The sequence below is a fragment of the Homo sapiens genome, chromosome 1, assembly GCF_000001405.40.
Source record: "Homo sapiens chromosome 1, GRCh38.p14 Primary Assembly".
Taxonomy (NCBI): domain Eukaryota; kingdom Metazoa; phylum Chordata; class Mammalia; order Primates; family Hominidae; genus Homo; species Homo sapiens.
Window position 1 is genome coordinate 183,995,947 of NC_000001.11, and position 12,002 is coordinate 184,007,948.

At 37.7% G+C, this 12,002-nt stretch overlaps 1 protein-coding gene across 3 annotated transcripts in view, besides 2 other annotated features; it reads right to left on the reverse strand.

Annotated features, from left to right (window-relative positions):
• COLGALT2 (collagen beta(1-O)galactosyltransferase 2) overlaps nt 1-12,002 on the reverse strand; it is a 108,067-nt gene that overhangs the window by 66,285 nt on the left and 29,780 nt on the right. The window lies entirely within an intron of this gene.
• Nucleotides 6,342-6,486: an enhancer, noted in NCBI's record as "145 bp enhancer 281 fragment used in the MPRA reporter construct; PK_construct_3308". NCBI's record gives its function as "activates an SV40 promoter by MPRA in HepG2 cells {active_cell/tissue: HepG2}" and the evidence as "EXISTENCE:reporter gene assay evidence [ECO:0000049][PMID:23512712]".
• Nucleotides 6,409-6,419: a transcriptional cis regulatory region, noted in NCBI's record as "NFE2L2 motif; enhancer activity is reduced when this motif is scrambled". NCBI's record gives its function as "necessary for full MPRA enhancer 281 activity {active_cell/tissue: HepG2}" and the evidence as "EXISTENCE:site-directed mutagenesis evidence [ECO:0005528][PMID:23512712]".

Genomic DNA, 12,002 nt, shown 5'->3' on the forward strand with positions numbered 1-12,002 from the left:
ATACGTGTTTTTAACTTTTCAATCTTATTGAGCTCTGTTCTTTTAAACTCTTTTACCTGAATTATCTAAGTAAACGAATCTTGTGTTTCTTGTATTTTAAATCTTATAGTATTCTTTTCTAGTCTTGTCCCAACTGGTTTGACCTCCAATGCCTTGTACGCTGCCAGGCCCATGAAAGACAGGCCATAAATGTTAGGAAATAAACAGCTCTGCACTGGACCACAGCTGGCCCGCATGCTGGGGAGGAGGCGCACAGGCTTCTCCCACCCCTTCCCTGCACCTCTGATAAACCCTCAGGGAAATCACCCTGTGATCCCTTCAGGCTAACAGAAGAAAATCTATATGAAAAAGAGAAGGCAGAAAGCTGAAGTGATAATGTTTAGAATCCTTAGAAGCTGGAATTCCCATCTAAAGACAAGGCGATTTAAAGGTGTAGACAGTGATTGGGCTTCAGTGCTGAACAAAGACATCTAAAACTCAGGACTGATAAGACAAAATGGACAGAAAACTCCATGAAGATGCAATAAGGAGACCTAGCTCAAAACATTTTTTGGACTCTGGAGCTCTGAAAAGGGGTATTTTCTGCCAAGTTATCTATCCTCAGACAAAAGTAAATGTTTTGACATTCCTGCAGGCTCTGTTAAGTTCCCCACCTCGTGAACAAAGGCCTGCCTAGAGGTGAGGACCTGTCAGCTGACACTGCTTATCTGCCTTAAAACCTCAGTGCAGTGGCCTTCTCTAAACACAGGGCAAGGGTGCTAACTGGAGAAGCCTGCAGTTCTCTCTCAAGTGAGAAATACCTACTGACAGAAACTGAAGGTCTGGACATACAGCAGGTGTCCAAGACTCTAAGAAAGTAAATACTACATGGGTTGAGGAAATGACCTATTATAAATGGGGTGAATATGCACCCAGAGGGCACTGCCACTCAGGCAATCAAAATATTAACTACTTAGGCTTTTTTACATTTTTGAGCTTATCGAAAGAATTTCGATGGTATAGTGCCTGAGTCAGGAAGGGGGTCAATACACATGAGGTGAATGAGTGAATGGACAAATGAATAAATGAATAAACAAATTCATGGCGTGGATCAGGGGCAGGCAGTGTAAAAAGCTCTATAGAACAAGAGGCTTAAGGTCTGGCCACAAGCCCACCATCAACCTAGCATGGAATTTCAAGTAAATCAATTTACTTCTCAAGTTCATTTTCTGTAGAAAAAAACCACATTTTGCTTAACGGAGTTGTTGTGAAGATAAACATAAAATAAAAAAGATTCCCCCCACAGTATTCTGTATAGTAAGACATTATAAATTGTTATATGTCTTACTATAAATTTTACCATGTAAGATTATATAGACGTTTAAGAGAATGATAAATGAACCCTTGTACATACCACCTAGCTTAAGAAGTAGATTTCTTTGAAGTCCGCTTTGTGCCTTCCCTAGTTACTCCTCTTCCTTCTCGGCCAATAATCTCTAGTCTGAATTTTTGGTTATTAATTCCCTTAGTATTTTTTATAGCAGAGGTGTCCAATCTCTTGGCTTCCCTGGGCCACACTGGAAGAAGAAGAATTGTCTTGGGCTACACATAAAATACATTAACACTAACGATAGCTGATGAGCTATAAAAAAATTGCAAAAACAACCTCATAATGTTTCAAGAAAGTTTACAAATTTGTGTTGGGCTGCATTCAAAACCGTCCTGGGCTGCATGTGGCCCATGGGCCGTGGGTTGGACAAGCTTGCTTTATAGTTTCACTACATATGTATATAACCCCAAACAAACTATACTTTAGGCTGTTTTTGAACTTTATATAAATAGATTCATGTTACATGTGTTTTCTGTAGGCTTAACACTGACTTAAAACTTACACATGTTGATACTTTTATCTGTAGTTGATAAATTCACTGCCAATGCTGTAATACCTCACTGTATTATTATACTATAATTTAGTGATCTATTTGACTGTCAGTGGACATTTAGCATATTTCCAGATTTTTGCAATTACAAACAATGCTGCTATGACCTTTGTTGCACGTATCCCCTGCTGTATATGAACAATAGTGCATTTAGGAGTGGCATTCCTGGATCTGTCATAGGTCTGAATATGTTCAACTTTACTAGGGAATGCCAAATTGTCTTCAAAGTAGTTGCACCAATTGATAGTCCCAGGAGCAGTATATGCAAGTGTCTATTGCATATATATTCCCAGCAATGCTTAGAATGTTGTCAGATTTTAAAATTTTTGCCAACCTGGCTGCTGAGAAACGATACATTATTGTGGTATTTATCTGCATCTCCTTATTACTTATCAGGTGGTGGAATGTTTCATATATTTATGGTCATTCATGTGCTTCCTCTTTTGTGAAACCTGTTTGTATTTTTGCCCATTTTTCTGTTAGGTTCTTTGATTTTTCTCTTTTATTCATGAGTTCTTCGTTGATTCTCTACATTATTTCTCTGTCGGTTGGTTGATTCTCAATACTATTCCTCTGTTGGTTGCAAAAATGATTTCCCACTTTATGGGTTGTTTGTCCACTATTTTTAGGATGTCTTTTGATAGAAAGTCCCCTCATCTTATTGTTTTGCTTTTTGAATGACTTGAGTATTCTTGGTCCTTTGTTCTTTCAAATAAATCTTATAATCAGCATCTCAGAGTGCATGAACAATCCTCTTGGGATTTTTATTAGAATTGCATTAAATTAATCGTCTGGAGAGAATCATTATCTTTATCAATTTTTCCTTTCCATGTACATCTATGTCTCCACATTTATTTTGGCCTTCCTTAATGTTTTTAATAAAGTTTCAGAATTTTTTCATAAAGATATTATTTTTGTTAGATTTATTCTTAGGTACCTTACATTTTTGGTTTCTACTATAAATAATATTTTTAAATAAATGAGTATCTGTTAGATACTCAGTTGGTATCTAACAGAAATGCAGTTGACTTTCATATGTGAATTCTGCTATATTTTTCTACCAATTTGTATAATTTATCTGCAAATTCTATTGCATTTTCTCTGTAGATAATCATATCTACATACATACATAATGATTGCTTTACTTCTTCCTTTCTAATTTTTAACCTTTTACTTCCTTTATTTATAGCATTTCACCATCAAATATGATATTTGTTACAGTCTGCTTTGGTGTTTGGCTTTTCTTATTGTTTTGTTTTGTGGGTAGCATTTATTGGGTTGAGAAAATTTTCTTGGTGAGAGTTTTGTTTCGAATGATTGCTGAAATAAAACACTTTTTGCATCTATTGAGATGAACATATGGCTTTTTCCCGTTAATTTGTCGATATGATAAAATGCATCTGTAGATTCTCTAATGTTGAGCTAACTTTCCATTCCTGGTGTAAACTCAACTCAATGCAGTATCTTTTTGCTATGTTGTCGGATTTGGTTTATTAGTACTTTGCTTAGGATTTTTACATTTATGTATATGGGTAAAATTAGGTAGTATTTTCTTTTATTATACGGTCCTCATATGATTTTAGTATTACGTTATGTTAACCTCACGAAATAAATTGGAAAAAGTATTCCCTGCTTTTCTAATCACTCAATGAGTATATATAATGTTGGAATGATCTTTTCATGAAATAATATATAAAGCCTATAAAATCTTCTGGGCCTAATGGTTTCTTTGGGGGAAGATTTTAAACTACTGACTCAATTTCTTCAATGTTTATAAAAACGTGCAGGATTTCTTTCTTCATGAGTCAGACTGTTATATGTATTTCTCTCAGAATTTTAAATATTTTACCTAATTTCTCAAATTTATTAGTATAAATGTATTTATAGCATTCTTATATTCTCAATATTAGTTACATCATTATTTATGTATTCTCCTTTTCATCCTTTATACTGTTTGTATGACCAGTCTTACCAGGATTTTATTTTATTGTTCTTTTCATAGAACCATATATTGGATTATTAGTCCTCTTTGATATCTTCAGTTTCTATTTCATTAATTTCTGTCTTTATATGCATTATTTTCTTCCTTGTCTCCTTGGGTTTATTCTGTTTTTTTACCCGCAAATGTCTTAAGTTCACCTCTTAGCTTATTTAGTAAAATAAAAGTCAAGGCCTTCTAAATTTCCATTATTATTTCTTCCTTGATCCTTGACTTATTTATAATTGTGACTTTTATTTTCCAAATCATGGCAATTTTTGAGTTATTTTGCTTTTGGTTTCCGTCTGGTTGTGATATATTCTGAGAATGTGATATGATGCCAATTCCTTTCAACTTTTCAGTCTCGTTTTTTGGCCTCTATGTGTCTATTTTTTGTAAAAGGTCCATGTGTGTCAGAGAAGAAAATATGTTCTGCAGTGGTGGTACTTTTTTTCAATTTTTCTTTTCTTAACTTATTGATTGATTGATTGAGATGTTTTCCTCTCATTTTATGTTTCTCCCTCAGTAGTTAACGGCTATCATAAAAATAAGATGTGTATATCTAACTTGACAAAGTTTAAATTTAATAAAAATGTTACCCTCTCCAAATCAATACAAGGAACTTAGAATGATTTAACTATAGTCACCCCCATCCCAAATGAAATATTGTTACGTCATATTTTAGTTTTATCTTGATTTTGTAATCCCTTAAATTGCACAGTATTGTTCTCATTTTATAAAGTCAATTAATTTAAGATCCACCCACGTGTTTAACATTTTCTTTGTTCATCATAGATTTCTGCATCTTAAGTCTTTATTATTTACCTTTTCCCTGAAGTACATGGATTTAGGTGATTCTTTACCTACTAGTAAATTATCTCAATTTTTGTTTATCTGAAAATGTCTCCAATTGACTCTCCTTATTGAAAGGAAGTGTTGCTAGGTGTACAATTCTAAGAGGACAGTGTATTTCAGCCCCCCATTTTTTTTTTTTTTTTTTTTTTGAGACTGAGTCTCGCTCTGTCGCCCAGGCTGGAGTGCAGTGGAGCGATCTCGGCTCACTGCAAGCTCTGCCTCCCGGGTTCACGCCATTCTCCTGCCTCAGCCTCCCGAGTATCTGGGACTACAGGCGCCCGCCACCACGCCTGGCTAATTTTTTGTATTTCTTTTTAGTAGAGACGGGGTTTCACTGTGTTAGCCAGGATGTTCTCGGTCTCCTGACCTCGTGATCCGTCTGCCTCGGCCTCCCGAAGTGCTGGGATTACAGGCGTGAGCCACCACGCCAGGCCTATTTCAGTCCTTTAAAGATGTTATTCTGGCTTTGATATTTGCTCTTGAAAAGTCTCCTGTACTATGTTGTTCTTTTTTGGTAATCTATCCTTTCTCTCTGCTGTTTTAAAGGTCTTCTACTTTTTTAAAAAAAATAAAATAAATATTTTTCAGCTTAACTATGATGCATCAAGTTGTGGCTTTCTTTTTATTTATTCTGCTTGAGATTCATTGGAATCTGGATCTGAAGATTGGTATCTTTTATAGATTTTGGAAAATTCTTACCCATATTATGTCCAAGTACTGTCTATCCCTCAATCTTTTAAAAATATACTTCTGGAATTCCAACAAGCATATATTAAAGCTTCTCATGTTTTCTTCCATATGTCTAAACCTCTCTTTCATAGTTTCCATCTTTTTGACTTTATATACTGCATGCAGTATAATTTTTTAACTCTATTTTCCAGTTTGTTACTTTGTTCTTATGATGTACTTAAAGCATCATTTTCTTTCATTTCTAGAGATGACTAATATATCCCAATTTCACATTTTCATATATGCAGATAATCAAATTTTCCCCAGCACATTCGTGTCACACCAAGTTAATTTACATATTTATTGAACTATTATTCTGGGTCTCTTGATTATTAGGAAAGTCAGTTGAAATCACATAGAAATATAACATCCCATGAAATGCCCTGCTTCCTGCTTCTTACTCCCTGAATCTCATAGTCATTATAATCTGCAGGTAAAGTTGCAAGGCCAAATCCTTAGGTGTAGTTGGGAATATCCCACAGGTCTAAAAGTCTGGGCCTAATGCTTCTCTGGCAGAAATTTTCATTGCTTTATAAGGTTCTTCCAAGTACAGCCTTTGAATGACAAAGTTTAAACCCTCTAGCTATGCCACCCCTTGCTCCTATTTTATCTTCCTCACACCATTTTGAAGATTATGATTTTTCCATTTTGCTGCTACTGAAAGCAAACACTAGACTAGTGGAAGTTTGGGTTGGGAGCCAGCCCAGTGCTCACTGTACATCCATCCTGGGCTCCTATCTAGCCTGTTCCACAGGCTGTGCTTCTATCACCAGCAGGATTTGAGGGCCTGGGCCCAACAATAAACGAAGTCCACTTGGCCTGGAGAGGACTACTGCTGTCAGGTGACAGCTGCCCCTGGCTGGGAGAAGAAACCTGGGCTAGACTCCATGCCAGGAAATAAACTCATGGCCATCTGCATTCCCTTTCATGACTCAGCCGTTCTTTATGAAAGGATTTACTGTGTGAGGAGTAGGAGGCTAGAAGATCTGAAAGAAGAAACAGCAAAGGGGATTACTAAGCCATTGAAACAAAGATGAAAAAATAGCTTTCCCTAGGCAGGCTGCTGCTTTGTAGCGACAGGAAGAGAATTTTCCACTTAAAGAATAATTATTATAGAGAAAGTTAATCTTTGTATACACAATTCAGATACCACAAAAATAAAATAGGACCAAATAACCTTATTGGGACCTCAGAGATAAGCAGTAATATTTTGGCTGATAAATGCTGAGTTTATAACTTAGTCCTATTCTAGTTTGGTACAGTGAAAAAAGGACTTAGGTCTGGATTCTTATTCCATGCTTTCTGTCTTTCTATCTTGATGCCATTGTTATTTTGGATTTTTCATCACTCTCAGCCAAAATAATCTTGATGCAAAAGACTGGGCTTAATATCTACCAGAATTTAAAATTCACATTTTTTTAACCCAGCAATACCACTTATAAGATTATATCCTATAAATATACTGGAATAGCATTAAAATATATAATAAAAATATCAAAAGACTGTGATATCAAAAGAATGGAAACAAACTAAATAAAGATATAATAAAAATATCAAAATACTGTGCTATCAAAAGAATGGAAACAAACTAAATATTCAACAGTAGGTGACTGGTTGTGAAAATGATGTATACATTATTATGTAGCCATAAAGAGTCTCAGAGATCTATATGGAATAATCTCCACATTTCAGGGGGAAAGATCATATATTGAACTTTCCAAATACAACTGCAACAATATCTCTCATCTCATGATGTGACTTTGACATTCCTCCTATCAAAAGATAGGGATTAGGTCCCCTCCTCTTAAATCTGGGAAGCAGAAGTGACACTGTCTGATTTCCAAGGCTAAGTCAGAAAAGGCAAGGCAGCTTTCTCTGTGTTGGCCAAAAAGACTCATGACTGGAGTCCAAAGTCACTGTGTAAGAGGCTGCCATGCTGTGAGGAAGCCAAACACATGGAGAGACCATGTGCTCTACTACCGAGTAGATGATCTACTACCGATAGATGCTCTGCTCAATAGTCCTTGTCTTCAAATCCGTCCAGTCCAGGGACCAGTCATGGGAGTGATGAGCCTTCAGATGGCTGCAGCCTCCCAGCCTTCCAGTCTTTTGAGCCAAGGTTGCAGATATCATGGAACCTATAAGGTTCCAGGGAAAAGTCACCCCTGCTGTGCCCTTTATGAATTTCCAAATCACAGAATTGATGATTGTGGTAAAACAGTTGTGCTTTTTTGATACTAAGTTTGAGGTGGCTTCTTGCACAGATAGTATGTTTTTAAAGAGTTATTCTTCACTGTTTGCTTTTTCATACCATTTCAATTTTTCTATTACCATGTACATACATTATTACATTTTCCAAGTCTATATAAAATAAGGACATTTGCTAGGAAACTATGATGCCAGAGACAAGCAGGTCTGCCGGCTTCCACTAGTAACACGACTCTGAAAGCCCAAATCCCCACTGAGCACATGTGAAAAAGTCCAAAGAAGACGAAGAGGATATTCCAGGCTTTTTAGTTTTTAAAATCAGATATCATACTCCCACAACTATAGTATGTCAACATGATACAAACCTTATCAGTATTTTTTTCACAACAAATTATTAATTGAAAAAGAAAACCACCACCATGCAGGATCTAAAACGGCATTATTTTTTTAATCATAGATTAAGGTGCAGGTTGAATATAACCTTCACTTCACATCTTCCAAATAGTAAGCTAGCTACGGTCTTAAAATCCATGTCTAGTTTATCCAAAGAAGGCTTTGGGAGGCTAAATGAGAACCTAAGATGTAAAAGGTTGTCACTCTTCCCTAACCATGGCAAGGTGCAAGAAAGCAGCACAACTTTGGAATTCATAGAGGTGTCCTGAAGTCTGGTAATAATAGGAAAAAAACCCATAACTACCCACTTTGCAAAACTTTGAAGTTAATAGAAAAAGTAGGAGGTAAACAGTAACACAAAGGATTTATTCCAAATAATATCAGAAATATGCAAAGAATAACAAAGCAGAGTGATCTACATCTTTAACTGTGTTCTACAACATTTTTAGGTATTTTTAAGTTTCTCTATTTCATTTAATTTTAAACAACCCTTTTAGGAGGAGATGTAACCAGAGGCAACTACTTCTCTATAAAAATCACTCAGCAACTATATAGTATACATGATACAGAATTTTCTATTTCCATAATCTCTAAACTGGCACTGTAGATGATTTACAAACATCCTGAGGGACAATGGCCCTTGGTAGACACCATAGAGAACATTAATGTTCTGGTAATTTTGTAGAAAAATTATTCTAGTCTGCTGTACTGCAAAACAGTCTCACTACAGAGCCACAGGGAGCCACTGCACAGGACAAGAGGAGGGGGAGATGGGAGTCACAGAGAGCACAGGGAGTCACAGAGAGTCACAGAGCAGGGGGACGTGGGAGTCACAGAGAGATCCTTCCCTCGAGGGATCGGTGGTTTGTCATGGAGTTGATTCTGAAGGCCATCAAAACCTTCCTCATATCATGAAGTTTGTGAAAACCATTGGGAATAATTAATGTTTTATACTCAAAGAAAGCTGTCATTTCTTTTAACAAGGAATAGAAACTGGGGCCAGGAGGCCCCTGAAAACAGAGGCATGATGGAATGCTGGCTGAGGGCTCCCGCAAGTGATCCACAGCCCTCTTTGCCTCAGCCTGCCTGGAACCAGGACAAGGACCCAGAGCACGCTACTGAGCCGGGGCTCAGTCAACATCTGTGGAAAGAATGACTGGCAAGGAAGGCCCAAACTTCTCCAGGCTCCCTGGGCCTATGGATGCAGACCTGTTAAAAAGTGTCAGCTCCTCAGAAAGCTTGGCTTTCTCCTTCACCTTCTCACACAGGACCTCTAGTCCTGGCAGAGGCTCCCTGACCCCGTCACTTCATGTGAACTGGTTGTCTTAATCTCTCCTAGTTGCTAAGTTGCTCTCTTGCCATAGTACTTCTTTGCTAGTGGCAGAAGGATGGGGAGTGGGGATATTTCTGGTTAGTGGAGCAAAGGCTTCAGTGTGTCACAGAATGTGGTCTCTAAGGCCCAGACAACTGTGTGGGATCTAGCCTAGGTATCAATTTGAAAAGAGCTACCTGGTTATACTCAGAATTCCCACCTATGCCCTTCCTGCCTGGAACTCTTTGACAGGAAGACTTTTCTCCTGCAAGCTTTCTCAGCACTCTGCACAGCCCATCCACACTCTGCCTCTCCGTCCTCACTCCACCAAGTCACCAGTCATATCTCTGCAGAGCTGGCCCCTGAGTGCTGATAGAACTCGACTTATTCCCCAGGAGACACCTCAGCCCTGGTGCGAATCATGAGACCTCTCCTCCACTGGGCCTGTCTCATGAGTTCACAGATGAGGCCAGTGGTGCCTGAACCCCAACACAAGACAGAAAGTGCAAGTTATTGGATGGATGAGAATGTCAGAGAAAGTCAACAGGACCCGGTGGCAAATTTTAATCTGTTTGCTATCATAGAAACTTGGGAAGGGTTTTAGGTATCTAAGGAAGAAAAAAGCTCTTCCCCTGCTGTTGGAGGAGAGTTATTGGAAAGAAACCATCTTCATACCAGTTTCTTTCCCCATCCTGCTATATTTCTCTCTCCCTTCTAGTATGTGGTTAAACAAAATTGGGAGCATACTATATGTACAGTTTTCTATGCTCTAGGGAGCACTTGTTCATATAATTTCAAGAAAGCTTGAAAACATTCTTTCATTCCACTCCCATATGTTGAACATTTAACTTGTTCCCAATTTTTCATTTTTATAAATAATGCATGGTGAATATTCGGTTCATAAATCTTTAACTGCAACTCTGGTTATTTTCTTAGACTAGAGCTAAAAAAATTAGAGTATGGGCCGGGCACGGTGGCTCAGGCCTGTAATCCCAGCTCTTTGGGAGGCCGAGGTGGGCGGATCACCTGAGGTCGGGAGTTGAAGACAAGCCTGATCAACACGGAGAAGCCTCGTCTCTACTAAAAATACAAAATTAGCTGGGCGTGGTGGTGCATGCCTGTAATCCCAGCTACTTGGGAGTCTGAGGCAGGAGAATCGCTTGAACCTGGGAGGCAGAGGTTATGGTGAGCCGAGATCATGCCATTGCACTCCAGCCTGGGCAACAAGAGCGAAACTCCATCTCAAAAAACAATAAAAATAAAATAATAATAATAATAATAATAAAAAGATTATGAGGGCAAAGGATACTAACATAACTGAGGCTATTTATTTATATTAAACTACCCTTCAGAAAAGTAATAACTTATAGTACTAGGAATACCCAGGCCTGATTCCACATCTTCACCAACCCTGCATAATATCATTGTTTTAACATTGCTAATTACTTTTAAACAACCCATATACAAGTTGTACCTCACTGATTCTAATAACGTATTTTCCCTCCTCTATCTTAACATCTCTGAATTCACTGGCACTTTGCAATACCTGGCATCTGCCAATCACTTTAGACCAGTCAGTAGATGCCACTTAGTTATCTGTGATGAGTGAACTTGGTTGTTCATTCTAGTTTTACCATTGAACAACTACTATCCCTCAAGATTTCAGTCAAAAAGCTCTTAGGGACCATTTGAGGAAGCAGTGTTAGCCATGGTTGCTAACACATCCTGGTAAGATCAAAGCAGAGGCAGCATTAAAATGTGCAGTATGGGTGTCAGTGGCTTAGAAGAAAATCCTAGAAACAAAAGCAGAGCACAATGCAATGCTGCAACCCCAAGCTCATGAAGGCACAGGGAATAACACCATGTGCAAAGCACAGACCTCTATGACTCTTGGGAAAAAGGTGATTCTGGAGAGTTGGACTCTGCCTGTGAAGTTTTCGGCAAATCTCAATCCCTTTATTTCTTTTATTATTGTATGTGTTCACAAGAGATAAACATCTATGTCTCAACAACTCTAAAAGAGATATTTTGATAAGCATAAGATAAAAATTCTAAGTGATAAGAAATAATTATGCCATAGTTTAACTTGCGGCTTTCCTTTCTTTTTCTACAATACATAAAATCATGGTATATCAGACTTGATTAAATATCATATTTTAAAATATGAGAGTATTTTACAATAATGGAAACTGAAGTAATTTTCAAACGATACATAATACTTGCAACAAATCATGTAGATTTTACCTTAATCTGTGGGTAGGTCTTGCCCTCCTAATATGTTCCTTCCTCCTTAGAGAAGAGTTAGAATAGGGCACATTTCCTGGGGACTGCAGCTGCTCCAAGAACCAAGACCACAGTTCCATTTGGTGTGGAGCTCTGTGAAATTGGTTCACAGTGGCCATGGCCCCCAGGGTCCTCAAGCTTATCCCAGGTTCCTCAAACATTTTGAAAAGAGCTCTACCCTACTGTTTTTCTTTAATCTTTCCTCTACCAACATTACCTCATCTTTCTCAATAAAAATCTCTCAGAACTATTAAAGTAGAATACATAAACAGATCCATTTTATTAAACAAATATTCATCACCCCCCATTACCAGGGCCCACGCTT